At 39.7% G+C, this 19,425-nt stretch overlaps 1 protein-coding gene across 6 annotated transcripts in view, besides 1 other annotated feature; it reads left to right on the forward strand.

Moving 5' to 3' along the window:
• Positions 1 to 19,425, forward strand: part of FRY (FRY microtubule binding protein) — a 267,352-nt gene that overhangs the window by 128,633 nt on the left and 119,294 nt on the right. For 5 of the 6 annotated variants that reach the window (XM_047429999.1, NM_001411012.1, XM_047430000.1 and 2 more), the window contains exons 17-23: positions 738 to 845; positions 10,606 to 10,864; positions 12,961 to 13,143; positions 15,140 to 15,226; positions 17,771 to 18,030; positions 18,438 to 18,627; positions 19,269 to 19,393. In XM_047429999.1, the coding sequence (XP_047285955.1) occupies positions 738 to 845; positions 10,606 to 10,864; positions 12,961 to 13,143; positions 15,140 to 15,226; positions 17,771 to 18,030; positions 18,438 to 18,627; positions 19,269 to 19,393 (1,212 nt within the window). Of the gene's footprint in view, positions 1 to 737; positions 846 to 10,605; positions 10,865 to 12,960; positions 13,144 to 15,139; positions 15,227 to 17,770; positions 18,031 to 18,437; positions 18,659 to 19,268; positions 19,394 to 19,425 lie in introns of those variants that run through there. The other variant, XM_017020306.2, reaches the window with a different exon arrangement.
• Positions 4,853 to 6,052: an enhancer, noted in NCBI's record as "CDK7 strongly-dependent group 2 enhancer chr13:32739396-32740595 (GRCh37/hg19 assembly coordinates)". NCBI's record gives its function as "activates an origin of replication core promoter dependent on BRD2, BRD4, P300/CBP, MED14 and CDK7 cofactors, with strong dependence on CDK7, by STARR-seq in HCT116 cells {active_cell/tissue: HCT116}" and the evidence as "EXISTENCE:reporter gene assay evidence [ECO:0000049][PMID:35650434]".

Below are 19,425 nucleotides of genomic sequence, written 5' to 3' on the forward strand. Positions count from 1 at the left end.
TTAAAAATCTAACAGTTACCTATTAAAACAACTAAAAATTGAAATAACACAAAATATATATTTCTCCTTCACATTTTCCAACAGAATGCAGAAGGCATTAATTATCATTAAACATTCATATTCTCAAGAAATTAATTAAAAATAGAGAAGGAAATCTCCATAGAGGTGAGGCCCATCGGTATCACTTTAAAAGTCAGAAATGGGTGCACAACTATATACATTTCAGAATTTTACTTATTTTGAAAGATTTATTTTGGAAGCACTTAAATTTTTAAAAACAGGACAAAGAGCTCTAGGGGAGAAGCATAACTCATCAGGGAGAGAAGCTGCTAGATATCACAATTACAAAAGGCACCATTCCATATATATATACTCCATTTTTAAATGCTGAATGAAATACATTTCTTCATGTGGATGTACTTAGCCATTTCTGTGATTCTGGTATTTTAAATGCAACTGGACTAGACCCAACTAAAGGGCAAATTCAAGGCAAAATACTATTGATATCAGCATTTTTCTTTTCAGATATATACCTCTGTCTTACATTTAAATTACTTAAAGTTTTATTAGAACTGGTCAAGCTACAAAGGGCATAAACATTTGAGAGTAATATGGAGCTAACACCAGGCTGTGACTCAGAAGGCATGGATTCTAGTCTTTGTTCATGCACTTAATTCATTTTGTTTTTATTTTCACAGCTTTTTGACCTATTTTAAAATTTTGTCTTCTAATTCTAGGGGTGAGAGAAAGCCAAAAATAGATCTTTTCAGGACCTGTGTTGCTGCTATTCCTCGACTGCTTCCTGATGGGATGTCAAAACTTGAACTTATTGACTTACTGGCTAGGTAGGTGAGAATATTATTTGGCCAAAATTAATTTCGATCCTTTGTTGTGACTCCTGAAAAAAAAATAGAATGGTAGTTTACAATTAACAAATATTTACCAAATGAGGTACTGGGTATGGGCAGGAAAAAACAAATTTTTAAAAATTATTTTTCCCATATTCAAGGGGTTTAAAATCCAACTTAGAAGCAAATACGTAAGCACGTAAGGTCGCTAACAACCCAAAGCCTGTGTTGTGCAAACTAATGGCACAAAAATATACAATACATGATTCGTGGGTAAGAGATTACTATGGACTGGGGAAGGCAACAAATAACTCCTGAGAGAAGGTGGAACTTGAACTTCCTCTCGAAGGGAAGGTAGAGTTCAGAAAGGTAAAGGCAGAGACATGAGCAAAGGCACAGAGGTAGAACCAGGAAATGAGATGGGTCTGGCCAAAAAAGAGTTCATTCGGAGTCTGATACCCAATCTGAGGCCCACAGACCCCCATGGGGACAAGAATGCAGGTCGTGGATATCCTTAACTAGTTTTAGTATAGTGCTTCAGAAAGCTGCCCCAAATCATATTTATCACCTTCCCAATGCACAATCCAATGAGAACCTAAAATTTATTTTCTTTGAGTGAAATTATCTTATTATAATTTAGTAAGCTTAGTTATCTCATGTTGATCTGGAGCTCCAGTTGACAGTTATGCATGTCTTTAATTTAAAAATCAAAAGTGACATAACCTAACTGCAATTTGGAAAGCAAAATTATTAGACACGTGGGATGTGTGGAATGAGGAAGAACAAAAGTCATTGGTTTGGAGGGAAAAAAGAGAAAATAGTTTACAAACCCAATGATGAAAGGAAATTGAAATAAGACTGAAGAGGTAGATTTTCAGCTAATCTTAAGTACTTGTTGAGGCATTTGGACTGATGAAATTTTAAGCTGGCGAATAAGATGACAAAAAATGTCAATTTAGGCTCTATAATCTGATTATGGTATAATTTTTAAAAAGCCTGGAGAAGGATAACAAATAGTCATGCTGACTGAATGAATGATGCATTACACATAGCCTGGTTTACTCACATCCTCTCACCTTCTGAGAGCACCTTTCCCATCAATATTCAAATAAATAACCCAAACTTCCACCCCACATGGCTGCACATAATCTGGTGGCCTCCTGAGGCTCTGAGTGTCCCTGTGGAGCCCCGCACCTCCTGGTTATTGTGGTCATGGTCCTCTCTTACGTGGGCAGCCAGCTTGGGTCCCTCTGTTGATTACCTCTTGCTATCTAGTAATAGCTTTTAGAAACTACTGCCCTTTCCCATTCTTTAATTTGCATTTGGACACAGCCACTCCCTTCCTCCTTCCTGACACCACTAGCACAAGAACAGTGCTGAATGTGAAGGTTTCCTGAAGGTCTGTTACCTTCAAAACCATGATTTCAAGCCGTTGTGCTCTCTAACCACAGCCTTCCACCTTCTGGCTGCCAATGTCACCCAGCCCTGTAGTCTCTTTCTGCTGTCATCAGCAGCCTTCCAGCCGTGGATCCTTCTTCCTTCCAGTCCACACTTAGGGTGTAACTTTTGAGACCTAGCAACCACAATATGAGTGAAGAGTACATTCCCTGGAAGCAGGAAAGCAGAGAGAAATGGGAAAAAATAATCCTGGATCAAAAAGGGCTTTCCAGTTCAGGGCAAGGGGAAGACCTGTGGAGGAACAAAGAGTGGGTTTCCAAAGAATAATGAACACGATGATTTAGGGGCTGGGGGAAGCTGAGGGAAAGAGAGACTAAGACTGTAAGGGTCATCCATGCTAATATTGAGTCACCCGGGATGAGGGCAGAGACTGAGAATAAAGAAAAGCTGTGAGACAAGGGCTAGAGCTACTGAAAACATAAAGGAGAGCCTGTCAGTTTGCTGTGGACAGCATTGGAGAGGGTGGCATGACCAGGAGACGTGTATTTCCCCAGAGCACAGGTGGCTGAGCGAAAAGCCCCTCTCCAAGGCCTCATGACTGTCTGGACAAAGACGGCCACCATCTAACAGACATGGAGGAAGCAGGACACGAGAATGGGAAGAAAACAATCCTCTAAAAGCCTGAACTTCATTTCCTTCATTCCTTTGCCATTTTACTACCTGCATGATCCGGACAAATTATTTAACCCTCAAGCCTATCCTTTTCCCATGGTAAAATTTTGGTGAAATTGGAATGAGACTGCCTACCTCAGGACTGTTGCGAGGGCTAGATGACAAGACATGTGGTTAGAGAGAGGAGGCGTCTGCAGGGAAAAAGTTTTCAGTTAAATTGAAGTAGAAGGAAAGTTCACTTTATTCAATAGAAGTCTAATTGGTGATTATATACACTGAGGCCTTTGAAGTACCAAGTTTTTTGAATGGCATGCAGTGTTCTCTTTCTGGTAAAGTCTCTAATGCTATTTTGCTATAAGTCTGAGTGGGAGGCTCCTACCTCTGGAATCACCTTGACAGCCCAATCCAGTGACGCCCAAACCCCCAGACCATGGTGCCAGGCGTGTTGGGAGGGAATTCTGTCAGATGTGGTTGGAATGCTAGTGCTATTTATAGTGCGTCCTGTTTATTATAAGTTACATTCTTACCAAGCCCAAAGCAATGGATGCTGTTTTTTGTTTTTTCTTTTTTCTTTTTTTTCTGAGGGAACAGAACAAATAAATATTCCTGAGAGTCTAAGTCTTAGGGAGAAATCAAGGAAATGACTGGACTTATATGGGAAACCCATGAAGGGACCTTTTTAATAAGCTTCAAAAGAAGCCAGAGGCTGTTCTCCTCAGGGGGAAGGATAACTAGAGTAAGCGACCTGCACATAGAGTCCTATTAACCTGTGAGAAAATGACCCTCTTCAGATCTCCTTGAGAGGGTCAGAGGACAAAAGTGAAGTAATTCAATAGCAATAAATGTGGGTTTCAAGTGCCACACAAGAAGTCTTCAGTTACTTTATACCCCCACAGTCCAGTTGCCTTCGGATTCAATTGACCTGAGATAATATATGGTCTAGTCAGAGAGGAGTGAGACCTGTTATTTCTGACACTTCACAGTCTCATCCGTGGTACACTTTTTATTTAAAACCTTGTTTTTTTTCATAATTGGTAAAATAAGGGCAGTGTTCATGCAGGTTGTCCATCCCTCCCAGCTCAGTTCCCTGTAAGGAGTTTCAACTGTGTGTCCCACACAGCTGCTCCCAGGCCCTTCCTGCACTTTGAGTAATGGCTGAATACCACAGACACTTACACCTCAGACACATATTAGTATGTTGCACATGACAACAGTGTATACAACGAAGCTGGAAAACTGCCTTCTTCAAGCTACTAGATTTTTGACTTTACATGTATTGCTCAGCCAGCTCATAATATGGCCAAGTGTGAGAACCTTTCCATGTGGCTCCATGGAAGCTTCACAGGCCCTCCTGACATTGTGGTGAGATCCATGGGGGTGCTTCCTTCCCATTCTCTGCAGAGCCTGGCCTGCTCAGCTGTCTGGATCCCTGAGGATTCTCCAGATAGAAAGGGCAGCTGTCTCCCCTTGGCAGCCGCCATCTTTTTCTCTCGTTCTCCTCTCCTAGATAGTTCCTGCTCTGTCATTTGACCACAAGAGGGAGCTTTCACTAGGAGTCCACAGGCTCCTTTCCTTGTCACTTCCTGCAGTGCTTTGCATGCACCAAGGGCTTGCTGTTGAGTATTCACCCTCCTCTTTCAAAGCTCTCAGCAAATGTTAGTTTATTATTTTTAGATATCTTCACATTCAAAGAACATACACCGTGCTATACAATGCATTTCATATACATTATGTTAGGTAAGCTGGGCACATGTTCATTCTTATTTTTAGATAAGGACATTGAATTTCAGAAGGGTAAATCTGATTGCCCAAATTTATAGAATTTTCCAAATGTCATTGGTTTTATGCAAAATAATAAACACGTTTTATGTGGTGTTTCCTTATTATTTGTAGAAACTTCTAAGATAATGCATACACAGATTCCACAGTCTTCTAGGGTATCTAAAAATCATTAAACATTTATTCTGCTTTCCCTTTTCCACATATGCCTGTGTTGTGGAAAGTGGTTAGTTGTTTGGAGTAGCTGAAAGAGAACTTGTCTCAATTGTATATATTGCCTCAATAATTCACTTAGTCATATTTCTGTATTTTAATTGAGATATAGTTCGAACCACTGTAGATAGATGGGGGTTCATTCTTTAATAGCCTCCAAGGAGAAATTTCCACCCCTTCTGGTGAACTACCCTGGTGGTGAACAGTCCACCTCTCTCAAGCTCCTTCTTTTGGAAATCCTTGTCTGCTGGGCTTCACTTTCAGTGTTTCTTCCTCCACGGCCCTTGTTGACATTGTGGGGCACTTCTTTCTAATAAGCTTTTGCTTATCTTGCCTAGTTCAAAGGAGGATGTTTCTCCTAATTTATCTTTTCTTCTGGATATGGTTTGTGAATTTGAAATCACCCCTTTTCTTTCATGTATCTCTGTACAAGAACATTATTAAAAGCTACTAAGCTGATTCCATCAGAATCTGAAGCTTACCTTACACAAGTGTTTTCCATTAAAAGTCATATTTCTGATCTGACCAACAAAGAAGGCAGCTTTGTCCAAGTTCTATTTCCTCATTTTATGACATGTCCTGACTTGTTCAGTAGCACCCTTGTCTGAGCAGCACGTGCCCTTGTGATCACACCACTCACTTGTTCTCCATCACCGCAGACAGGGCCCAGGACCATTGGCAGTGGCACACGTGGCCTGTGCAGAATACAGCTATGCATTCGCTTTCTGACGTGAGCAGTGAGAATCATGCCAGGCCTGCTTAGTGCTCCTGATCCCAGCTGCCTGGGAGGGGCAGCTGCAACTGGTATTGGCAACACTGGTTTCTTTTATTTTAGGCTTCTGAGAGCCAAATCAGCTTTTCAGAAATTTAGCCTTAGTTCCCCAAGCTAGCCAGACATCTTCTCAAGTTGCTTTCTCTTAAAGTCTTTCTGTTCCCTCTTAATTGTTGCCACCAAACTCTCTCAAAGGACAGTTTTTAAAATTATAACTGCGTCTGTTTAATTTGCAGCTGAGACCTGTTCTTTCTTTCCTGGTCTAGTTTCTCTATGAAGATGGCCCAGCTGGGGGAACTGCTGTCCCCCACCCTCATCCTTGCTAGAGAAGGAGATCTAATAGGATTTGTAAATCTGTAGGCCAGCTCTACGCTACTTTCCTGAGTAGTCAGAATGGCTGGACATCTTTCTCATTTAACTCCAAGGCTTCCTTTCCCTTTTAGATAGCTATTTTTTTCCCGCTTTATAATGTAAAATCCCATGTGTTTCACAAGATCTTGATTATCTGGTCAAAATCTAACAAAAGTAAAAATGAGGAAGAACTGAGTGGAAGAGATGGCAACTGTATCTGACAGGCAGCCCTCTGCTTATATGCTTCGAGGGACAGACACAGGGAGGGAGCTTTGTCCTCTTCACAGCTTCTTCCCCTTACCCCTCACCTACTACCCACAGACTCGTCTTGATAGGTGATTTCCATTCAGTCTCAGTTCTGTGGCAGCTGGGCCTTTTTCTTCTACAAACATTCCACTTTTATAACCAGCTGAGCCTTCTATCCCAGAAGCCCTTTCCCCTCCCTGGTCTTCTTCCTCCAGGAATATTTTTGAGCCTTTCAGTGGTAGAGCATGTAAACACTGTCATTTTAAGAGACATGGCCACCAAGAATAGCAAGGACTACACTGCCCTGGGGCTCCAAGAGTCCTGAAAATGATCCTGCATTGTGGGTTTGAAGTTAAAACAGATTCTAGATTGCAAATTGTGCGTGAGAGCAAAGTTAGATGACGAGTAGAATCAATCTCATTTGGAAAGCTGAAAGTATTGGCCCTTACTTAAAGGCTTCATGAAAATAGACCATGACATGGCTTTCGTCCTTGGTGCTTGTCTGGTTTCATGATTATATTGGTTTGCTAGGGCTGCTGTAACAAAGTGTCACAAAATGAGTGGCCTAAACACCAAAAATTTATTCTCTCACACTTCTGGAGGCTAGAGGTCCAAGATCAAGGTGTCAGCAGGGTTGTGTCCTGCTCAAGACTATGAGAGAGAATCTGCTCCAAGCCTCTCACATGGCTTCTGGTAGTTTGCTGGCACTCTGGCATCCCTTGGCTTGTAGAAGCATCACCCTGATGTCTGCCTTTATCTTCATATGGCATTATCCACGTGTGTTGTCTGTCTACAAAAGTGCCCTTCTTATAAGGACACCAGTCATATTGGATTAGGGGCCCACAACCTCTCCTTAATTTAGCTAATTACATCTGCAATGACCTCATTTCCAAATAAGGTCACATTCTGAGGTACTGGGAGTTAGGACTTAAACATATGAATTTTGTGGGAGACACAAAATTATGAACACTGTCATTACTATCAGTTAACATTTATGTAGTGTCTGCAATTCCTGGTTACTAAACTATTACCTGTCCTAAAAACGGTGGCTTGTTATCTGTGGAAGCTTATTTTCTAAGACCTTCAGGTCCATAGACAGGTATAAATATAGTAAATTAGAATAATAAACATAAGATGGGGAAATGACTTCAAGTGCTTTTCATAAACTAGTGTTTTCAAACCATGGACTGCAGAGATGACTCAGCTGCTTGGCGAGTGAAGGAGTGTTTTCTCCCCAGATGGGTGGGCTTCAGGCCTTTTACCCCAGCTTTAACCAGAGTGGCTCAGGCTTTATGTATCTATATATTGCAGTTTGTATTAGAGTTCTCCAGAGAGAAACAGAAACAATAAGATGTATATAGAGAGAAAGAGATTTATTGTAAGGAATTGGCTCATGTAGTTATGGAGACTGGCAGGTCCAAAACCTTCATGGGGGGCCAGCAAGCTGGAGATGCAGGAGAGCCAGTGCTGCCATTCTTGTCTGAAGGCCGGCATGCTAGAGATTCAGAAGAGCCAAGTTTCCAGTTTGAATCCAAACACAGTCTGCTGTAGAACCAGGAAGAACCAGTGTTGCAGATGAAGTCTAAAGGCTGTTGAATTCTCTCTTGCTCAGGGGAGTCCAATCTTTTGTTCTAGTCAGTCCTGCAGCTGGTCAAATGAGGCCCACCCACATGAGGGAGGGAAAACTGCTTTCCTCAAAGTCCACTGATTTAAATGTTAATCTCATCCACAAACATCCAGAATAATGTCAGTCAAATATCTGGGCACTGAGGCCCAGCCAAGTTGACACATAAAATTCACCACCACAGAGCTCTATATAAACTTTTGTTGGAAAAAAAGATAGATATGCTGCTGAATGAAATATAAAGAAAGTTTGAAAACTTCTGTTTTAGACAATTCTAGATTGGAAGCCCAGGTTAAAGCCTTCTCATTCTTCTTTCAGCAACTACTGAAGAACTGTAGATTTAATTGTATAAGACGTCCCTGAAAAATTAGCTTAGATCTTCCTTCTCAGTGTCTGTGTAGAACTTTACATGCTTTTGAGACAGTAAATATATTCCCTGGCTCAGTGTAAATCTGTGAACTAAAGAGCTTTTTACCTGATTTATATTGTCAAACTGGACCAATTGGTGTACTTTATGCTTTATAAAATAAGACAAGAGTTTGCTTATCTTATCAAACTTTTGAAATACTATCTGAGAGTGATAACTGGGGTGACTTGTGTCAGGCTTGTTTTGTGAGAAGTATTTTGGATTAAAGATTAGAAGTCCTAAATTGAATTCCTGGCTCTTCCCTTTGTTAACTTTGAGCAAATTCCTTAACCACTCTGGGCGACAATGTTGTCTTGTATTTGTTGGTGATAATATCTGTCCTGGGTATGGGAGCCCCCATTGACTCTGCCATGTTCCGCCACTGAACACCTCCAGGCTACTGAGTTCTAAATATCTTTGGCCTCTGTCTGCCCTTGCCCCACCACACTTCTATGCTTTGGGTCAGGCCCTCACCACTTGTTGCTTAAGTCATTGCAGTGACCTCTTAGATGGTCTGTGCCTTGTTTCTTCTCCAAGACATTCTCCCTATTCCTGCCTGACTCTCTTTTCTCAAGCGTGAATCTAATCATGTTTCTTTCCCTATAACTTTCAGGATACAATTCATTTTCTTCTAATAATAGCTAACGTTACTGAGTGCTTACTCTGTGCTCTGTGAAGTGCTAAATATTGCACATGGATCATTCAGTGACCCTCACGACAGGTTTATGGAATGCAGTTACAGTTAGTATCCCCATTTTACCAATCTGAGGCTTAGAGATTAAGTGACTAGCCTGAAGTCACGTAGCTAATAAGTGACAGAGGCAAGACCCTGATCCAGGCATTCTGACTCCAGAGTACACACTCTGAATCCCTTCCCTGCTGTGTTGTCTCCCTGAGTGGCCCAAAGACCCTTCAGTTGAGCTGCCTCTGCTTCCTCTCCAGCACTGTCTCACACCTCACTCTTGCAGGCACCTCACCCAATAGACACAGCCACACCGAACTCCATATCCTAAGTGCTGTACATAGGGCATGTGATGACTGAATCTTAGGAGGGTCTCTCTTAAAAGCCTTTGCTTATTAAATAAATGAATGAATATGTAAAGCAGTATGTTAGCAGTAATCCATCCTACCAATGTCAAGATTTAATATTATTGTGTTGTTCTAGATTAAACCACAGATACACTAGAATTCTGTTAACTTACTCAAAATGTCTCAACCTTGGCACTATTGACATTTTGGGCCAGAAAATTCTTTGTCACAGGGACCTGTCCTGTAGGGTGTCTTAGGATTCTGGGGTGTTGAGCAGCATCCCTAGCTTCTACCCACTAGAGAAATGCCTGTACCACACCCCAAGGTGCACAGCCAGAAATGTGTCCAGACATTGCCAGATATCCCAAGGAGCAAAACCGATTTAGGACCACAGGCCTGACTCTGATTGTTCATTTATACTGAGCTTCTGGATGAGTCCTTTAGCTTCTCCAGTACTCAGGTTCCTCATCCTTAAGAATAGGATTCGATACTAATTTATTATTCTGTAGCCAGTGATGTATTAAAAAGTGTTCATATACAGTACAGCTAAATGCAGTGTGGTATCTTGGATTGCATTCTGAAACAGAAAAAGGACATCATTGGAAAACCGGTGAAATCTGAGTAAAGTAGTTAATAGCTTCATCTCAATATTAAGTTCTTAGTTTTGATCAGTGTACCGTAGTTATATAAGATGTTAACATTAGGGGAGGCCCGAAGAACGCTATATCGGAAAACTCTGTATTATCTTTGCAGCACTTCAGTAATTCTAAAATTAGAAGTTTGTTTTGTTTTGTTTTGTTTTGTTTTTCTGAGATGGAGTTTAACTCTGTTGCCCAGGCTAGAGTGCAGTGGCACGATCTTGGCTCACTGCAACCTCAGCCTCCCAGGTTCATGCCATTCTCCTACCTCAGCCTCCCAAGTACCTGGGACTACAGGCATGTGCCACCACACCTGGCTAATTTTTGTATTTTTAGTAGAGACGGGGTTTCACCGTGTTAGCCAAGCTGTCCTCGAACTCCTGAACTCGGGCAATCCACCTGCCTCAGCCTCCCAAAGTGCTGGGATTACAGGCGTGAGCCACCATGCCTGGCCAAATTAGAAGTTTTTTAAAGGTATTTATGTAAGTCATTTACTAAGCAAAAAATAAGGGAGACCCATTTTCAGACTCAAGTAGAAGAGATATACATTAATATCTATTAATCCTTGTTAGCTCTAGAAGACCAGTTAATAAAGTAAATGATTTTATTTTCCTTTATTCGTTTCACAGGCTCTCTATTCATATGGATGATGAATTGCGACATATTGCACAAAATTCTCTTCAGGGTTTACTTGTTGACTTCTCAGATTGGAGGGAAGATGTACTATTTGGCTTTACCAACTTCCTGCTCCGGGAAGTAAATGATATGCATCACACACTCCTTGATTCGTCCCTGAAGTTGCTGCTGCAGCTGCTCACCCAGTGGAAACTAGTCATCCAGACACAAGGAAAAGTCTATGAACAAGCCAACAAAATCAGAAATTCAGAGGTGATTTTCACACCTTACCCATGAATTTATATTCTTTTTTTTTTTTTTTTTTTTTTTTTTTGAGACAGTCTTACTCTGTTGCCCAGGCTGGAGTGCAGTGGCGCGATCTTGACTCACTGCAACCTCCACCTCCTGGTTCAAGTGATTTTCATGCCTCAGCCTCCCGAGTAGCTGGGATTACAGGTGCACAACATCACACCTGGCTAATTTTTGTAGTTTTAGCAGAGATTGGGGTTTTGCCGTCTTGGCCAGGCTGGTCTCGAACTCCCAACCTCAAGTGATCCTCCCGTCTCAGCCTCCCAGAGTAGTGGGATTACAGGTGTGAGCCACCATGCCCGGCTGAATTTATATTCTTTTATTCATATATGTGAATGAGTGGCAGTCTAGAACCTTTAGAATTCTTACTTCCAGCCACCTAAGAACTTCCTCCCTGGTGGTGGGCCTTAGTTCTTCCACTGGCATAAATTGTGACCAAGAAACTCAGAGCATGATATTCCACATCAGGTTAGACTTGTGAACATTCACAAGGCTATTTAGGGAATAGAAATTGGTTTTTTCAGAGAAGTATGATTGCAAATCTATTTGTAAGAACAAATGACTACAGGCCAGGGACTTAGAGCTGGATGTGGGTGTGGATGTGGATGTAGGTGTGGATGTAGATGCAGATGTAGATGTGGATGTGGATATGGGTGTGGATGTGGATGTAGATAGGATGTGGATGTGGATATACATGTGGATGTGATATGGATGTGGATATAGATAAGGATGTAGATGTGGATATGGATGTGGATGTAGGTGTGGGTGTGGATGTAGATAGGATATGGATGTGGATATAAATGGATGTGATGGATGTGGATGTAGATGTGGATATAGATGTGGATGTGGATATTGATGTGGACGTGGATGTGGGTGTGGGTGTGGATGTAGATATGGATTTGGATGTAAATGTGGATGTGATAGGGATGTGGATAGGGTTGTGGATGTAGATGTGGATATTGATGTGGATGTAGATGTGGATATGGATGTGAATATTGATGTGGATGTGGGTTTAGGTGCAGGTGTGGATGTAGATATGGATGTACATATTGATATGGATATGGATGTGGATATAGGTATATAAAAGTCAGCTGTCCACTAGTTATTTTTAGCCAGAAACATATGGGCTGCTTTGTTCAATATCCACGGAGAGGACAGTGCAGTCTTGTGGTTTCTTTATCCTTTCATGTCTCAGTCCTAAATGGTTAAGGTAGTGATAACATTTTGCAGAGCGCATTGAGGAGGAGTGTTGTCAGAGGAGAACCAGGGTGGTGGGAACTTGGCATTGGCAATGAGCAGATGGAGAAAGGGGTCTGGCTGGAGAAGAGTGTAACTGAGAGTCTAAAGACTGTGGAGGCTCATGGCAGTATAGTAGCATCTGGGGAACAGCTGGGATTCCTTAGAGGCTAACCCCAGAGATGACATTCAGCTCCTTCTCCCTTCCCTGTGTTGTAGACATGCCAACACGATAGGTAGAAAAGCAAGGGTTATATATGCTTGTAAGGGGAAAACAAAAATGAAGGTGGAAACTTCCCTGTTGACTGGCTTGCTTTTACTTTAGATTCACTTGGTTGGGGATTGGGAACTTTCAGAATCCATCACAGAGCTGTGCAAAACCTAGATTAGAATCTAACAAACAAGTAAGCAAGGAGAAATAGAAAGTAAATGTTTGAAAATTCGATTCAATAGTATCCAAAAGTCTATGGAGAATTTAAATAACAACTTTGGCCACTTTGATTGTATATACAGTGTAATACCAAGTGGTATACATGAAAGGAGTTGTGTTTTTATCAACATTAATAGCCTTTGAAGAGTTATTTTTCATCAGAAGTAACAGATGGTTGATGGTATTCCGCAGCAGCAATTGATCTGAAAGACAGAAGGGGATCTAGGATATTTCATGAATAATAATAAATTCATAGACATGTCTGGTTCTAAACCATGGTCATTTATTTTAATATTTACAAGGTCAAATGTGCAAAAAATATGTAAAACATGAGTGTATTCTTCTTCCTTTGTTATTTCGCTGAATACAGAATGTTGTTCTTATTGCATAACAGCTCATCGCAAATGGCTCCAGTCACAGAATTCAGTCGGAACGAGGTCCCCACTGCAGTGTACTCCACGCTGTAGAAGGTTTTGCTCTGGTTTTACTCTGCAGTTTCCAGGTGGCCACACGCAAACTGTCCGTTTTAATACTCAAGGAAATTCGAGCGTTGTTTATTGCCCTGGGGCAGCCTGAGGTATGGATTAGTCTTCTGAATTTTTCCATTTCTTACTTTCAACTCTTCTGAAATTTAGATTAAAAACTACAAATGATGCATTACTATTTCAGGTACTTTTATGTTACATGTAGTGTTTCATTCATTGTTAGGTTTTAAACTATTGTAATAACATTCTTGATCTACTAGATGTAAGTCATATTTTCTAAAAGCAATAGAAAAGACAAATCCCAGTTCTCCAGGGACATTACTTTGCTAAGAAGTGAAGAATTTTAAGATTAATTTAGGCTATGAATCATTTCCTTCACAGTGTTCAGCACATATCTAATTAAGAAGATATTATTACTTTATATTAGAGAATAAACTTGAAAAATCATATATCTCATTTGAAATGATCAAGGTACCAAAGAGTTTGGCAAATTGAAAGATGTTTAATCTTGATGATGGTAGAAAATGGCATCACAAAAAACACGTCCTCTTGAAATGGGAGAAGGAAGCCAGTTATTAAGCATGATCAATGCCTGCTAACACCCCACATTTGGCTAAATGCCATACACCTTGTTCAGAGAAAACACTTATTGCTATCTTGCAAGCTGGCATGGGTGGCCAAACCAAATGCATAATTTGATGAAAGAGGGACCAGCTTTTCATGTCATATATTTCTTTAGAAAATTACCACTTTCTGTTTTCTTCTTTTAAAAATAACTACTTTGGTTTTGTAACACTTGACATAGTCACTGTCTTTATAAAATATTTTCAACTTCACAGTCTTTTCTGTTCATATTTCTTCAGATAGCTTTCTGATGTATTTCAGGGCCACATCTCTGGCATCTGGTAAATGAATCTCTAAGACATATTATATTTTAGCAAACCTTCATCAAGTTTGTAATTATGAAAGTAATGATAATAATAATTACCATGTATGTGTCAGGTAGTGTGCTAAGTGCTTTATAAATAATATCTCATTTGACCCTCATAATAACCTAAGGATTGGTTTGGTTATTATCCCATTGTACAGATACTGAGACTGAGGCTTAGAGAGGTTAACTGCCTCCTGCAAAATCAACAGCTAGAATGTAACAGAGCCAAAATTCAACAACAGATATATACACATGCCTCTAACGCCCCACTTCTTAAGTGCTAATCCACTAGACTGCATCAAAGATGTTCCTCATATGTTGCTTTCTTTGACCAGCCATAATTTTTTTTAAACCACTGTCATTCACACAGAAATAGAGACATCCCAAGGCTTTTCTATAAGGCTTTTGAGTAAATAATTTTATATTTTCCAATTTCTCCATAAGGGATGGTGAATGAATATATAATATATAAATAAATGAATATTCATTTATACATTCATTACATATATTTTGTTCATAATATATAAATGAATGGATGAATTAATTTATAAATTTATGATATATAAATGAATCCATTCATTTATGTATTATTCACATAGAATTTTCACTAAGATACTCTCTCGTGCCCTTTCCAATTTGCATCTTGTATCAAATAGTTACATACTATGTAGATACTACAAAGAGTGTGTGGTCAGTCTAGTTTCTTTGGGACTAAAATTCAGTCACAGTAAACAATTTATCAGTTATTTTAACAGATCAATGACTTAAAATAAGTAGCATTTTAGTTAGCAGTCTAACAAAGCATATTCTTGCAGAATTTCTACTCCTCGAAATTAATAACATGAACACTGTAGTGAATAATGTATGGCACTGGTAGATTCTCATGTACATGTATGAGTCTGAAATTCAGGTATATGTCTTTTCAGTACAATGTGAAATTGGAGCTCTAATTATCTTCCACTAAAACTTGAAAGATGAAGCTCAGAAACACAGGAGTTTTACTCACTGCCTTCCACCCTCTGGGCACTCACTTTTCTGTGAGAAAACCCTTATCACTATCTCACAAGCTGTTCTGCTTCATGTATCAGACGAAGGCGGTGGGGTGGGTGGGGAGGATTCATTTTCCCATAGAGAGTAATCGCCTCCCCTTTGTACAGGATGACGACAGGCCGATGATTGATGTCATGGATCAGCTAAGTTCTTCCATTCTAGAAAGTTTTATTCATGTAGCAGTTTCGGATTCAGTAAGTACACATTTGATTCCAATTAATGGCTCTTAAAAGCTCTGGACCTATCTAAAATAGTCAGTGAAAAATTATGTGGAATAATTTGGGTGTTTATGTCAGATTAATAAACTGACCCAAAGGTACTTATGAAGATAAGACTAGTTTTTCAGATGTTAATTTAAGAGACATTCAGATAAATTTCACACAAAATCTGGATCTTAGGAATATAGATAATATTTTTAAACAACAGTTTTAAGAATTGCTCAGGATTCTTAAGGAAAATTACTTTGCCTTTTTCATTGTACTTATCACTTAATACTATATGTAACACTTAATATTGTACTTAATATGTAACTTCTATTTATGTGGTACTTTATAGTTTACAGAGTGCTTTCACATTTATTATTCGATTTGATTCTCACAGTTACTGAAACTCAAAAATGTTAAGGGGTAAGTCCACAGTCACACAAAAGGAGAGTTTTAAAGCCCAGGGTCAAGTCTGGGCTCTCGAACTCTCCTCCCCAGGTTTGGACTCTGAACCTAGGAGAGCTTTATCTGCTACACAAATACATTCTTCCTTTTTAAAAGCACATTGGCAACTTTCAATTTCCTGAACAAGTGTAGAAGGGAAATTTAAACTGATTTTAGTTATCTGACTTTTAAAAAATAAAAGTATAATAACAGGACCTGGATTAATTTGGGCTAAATAGCTGAAGGGAGGCAGGGCAGAGCTGAGACTCCTTGCAGAATCCATGTTACTGATGTTGCTGATGCCTGATGTGCAGATACTTGTCAGATAATTATAAATGTATACAAAACCTGAAGACATTTCAGAGCTCTTCATGGCCTTTTCTAACTTGATTGAAAACAGATTCCTATTTTTAGTGGCCCTGTTCTTGCTTATGATCATAATAATAATACACTAAAACTATAAGCCAGGTACTGCAGACCTTAACAGTAATAGTGAAATAGTCCTACTTCTTTTAGAATTTCAAATTGTTCTGACATGGAATGGAATACTAAGCTTTGTTTAATGTACGTATCCTACTTGCCTACAGATAACACTTTATATTTTGTTCATGTGCTTTTGTTCTGTGTGTACCAAAATCAAAATCTTAACCTGGGTAACCAGCTCAGCAATACTGCAGTTAGGAAGATATACAGAAACGGGGAGAGAGTAATGGGAGAAGCAGTGACTGCTTTGTGCCAGGTGTTTTTACAGCTGTTACTTCATGTAATTCACTGAAAGATTTGGTGAGATCAGCATTATAATTCCCAAGTCATAAATTCAATACACAGAGATTCTGGGATGTTCAGTACTTTTCTCAGGTCACAGGCTTTGGGCAGAGCCTATGTTGCCATCTCATCTCTCAGGCTCTGTAGCTCCAGCTCTGCCCCTTACAGCCTATTGACCATTGAGGCCACAATTATAACACTCTTACCCATGGGAACTCATAAACCCAACAGTTAATTCATCATTTTACATGCCTAACAAACATAAAGGCAGTGTCCTCTCTTGGCACAATAGCTAGATTATTTGAAAATTGATGTCCCCTGAACTTTGGTATCTAGACTTAAAAGAGAACAAAATGGAATATAAGAACTTACTAATATAGATATTTATCTTTCAAGAGATTTCAAGAGATTTTTATTTTTGCTTGCTATCATAGGGCAAGAATATGTGGGTATCTTGGCCAGGTGTGGTGGTTCACGACTATAATCCCAGCACTTTGGGAGGCCAAAGAAGGCAGATCATTTAGAGTTCAGGAATTCGAGACCAGCCTGACCAACATGGTGAAACCCTGTTTCTTCTAAAAAATAATACAAAAATTAGCGAGGTGTGGTGGCGATTGCCTGTAATCCCAGCTACTGGGGAGGCTGAGGTACAAGAATCGCTTGAACCTGGGAGGCGGAGGTGGCAGTGAGCCAAGATCACACCACTGCACTCCAGTCTGTGTGACAGAGCAAGACTCTGTCTCGATAAATAAATAAATAAATAAATAAATAAGAATACGTAGATATCTTATCTCAAAAACTGTCAGTAGAATGTCCTTCATAAAAGGGATTGTGCTTAGCCATCTCTCTAAATCAAAGGGAAGATATTTCAGTGTAAGGAAAGATAGAGAAGATCATAGCTTTAAGAACGTGTTAATTACAATGATAAAAACACATTTGTGAATCTCAGAGATGAATAACTTTTCAGAATTTTAAAATACTGAATCCATGTTTCAGTTTAAATTTACTGTCATATATTCATTCAACAAATAATTAGTGAACAGTTTCTGTGTATTGATGCACAGTGCTCTGTGGCAATAAACCTGTCAAAATGTGACCCAGGTTCTTAAATTTTGCACTTAAGCTGCTTATCATCTAGCATAGGAAGACTGATGACCACACACCAAGGTCAAATGTGGTAGGTGCAGGATTGGTGTTTCAGATTCAAAGCCAGCCCAGTGCACTCAGCAAAAGCACTGTGCAAGAATGAGTAGTCAGGCTGAGCCTTGATGAGGATGGATAACTTCAGTTCGGGTTTAACTTACAACCTACCTCTTATACCTACAGGCAACATTACCACTCACCCACAATGTGGATCTGCAGTGGTTGGTGGAATGGAACGCAGTCCTGGTCAATAGCCATTATGATGTGAAAAGCCCTTCCCATGTCTGGATATTTGCACAGTCTGTCAAAGACCCCTGGGTCCTCTGCCTCTTCAGCTTCCTCCGGCAGGAGAACTTACCCAAGCACTGCCCCACAGCCCTCAGCTATGCCTGGCCTTATGCCTTCACTCGGCTCCAGTCGGTGATGCCTCTGGTGGACCCAAAGTAAGGGATTCTTGTGTTTTCCTCTGCCCTCTTGTTTTTCCATTTGCCCTCTTAAATTTTCATTTTGTGTAAGAGATTGGGATGTTATCATCCCAATTTCTGAACTTCCTACTAGAGAATTCTTAACATTGAGTAAAAACATTAAAAAAATTTTGTCTAAAGCTAGTGGTTTTTTGCCTTAATAATCAGTATGATTGTCTAAGTCTATAATTTCAGACTTTTAATGGTAAAAGATACTTTAAAGTTCTTCTGTTTGACTTTTCATCCAATGCAGATACTCTTTGAATAACATTCTTAATCGACAGTTGTTCAACTCTATTTGAGTACTTCCTATGATCTTTATTTAATAAGTGATATTTAAAATCCAGAACTTAGTTTCACTCTTGTTTTCGACTCCATATTTCTAGTAGCCCAATTAATGCCAAGAAAACCAGCACTGCCGGCAGCGGAGACAACTATGTTACTTTGTGGAGAAATTACCTAATTCTTTGTTTTGGAGTTGCAAAACCCAGTATTATGAGCCCAGGACACTTAAGAGCTTCCACTCCAGAAATAATGGCGACCACACCTGATGGTACAGTGAGCTACGATAACAAGGTGACATGACATGCTTCAGAAGAATTATTCTGTAAGGTTTTTTTTTAGCTTGTTTGTCTAGAGTTCACAGTGCAAATTGCACTGTGCCTGCCATCTGGAGTATTATGGGATCAGATTTTCATCCTACACATTTCTAAATTCCATTGAGTGTTTATATGAATAATTTATTACTCCTCCCTGACAAGCAGGGAACCAAAGATAAAGAAAAGTTGAGAAACCTGCTTAAGACCATAGAGTGACTTGTATTTATTCGTGCCCTGAGGTTTGGTTTGTGTCCTACAACACCACACTACATTTCTTTCACTCCTCACTGAGTATTCACCTTTAAATCATGCCTTGATTAAATAAATTATCTTGTTAAAGATAGCTTTATAGACTTAAATGGTTTTAAAAAGAAGACCGTTATAAAAAAAATTTCTTTAGAATTTGTGTTCCAGGTGAGAATTGCATTCATTTTGCTGTATTAAATTTGTGTGTGTGTGTGTGTGTGTGTGTGTGTGTGTGTGTGTTTCCTGAAATGATGGCAGTGCCTTGGGATATGGTTCAGTACTTTGAAACTGTTATAATGGGATCATCCTTTGATTAAAGGAACCATCAGTTACCATGTTACCTCTTTTTCACTTGTATTCAACTTATTTCAGGCCATAGGCACCCCATCGGTGGGAGTTCTGTTAAAGCAGTTGGTGCCTTTGATGAGACTAGAGAGCATTGAGATCACAGAGTCCTTAGTTTTAGGATTTGGAAGAACAAATTCCCTTGTTTTCAGGTACAGTAGTCTTAATGAGTTGTTCTAAATTC

The sequence above is a fragment of the Homo sapiens genome, chromosome 13, assembly GCF_000001405.40.
Source record: "Homo sapiens chromosome 13, GRCh38.p14 Primary Assembly".
NCBI lineage: Eukaryota > Metazoa > Chordata > Mammalia > Primates > Hominidae > Homo > Homo sapiens.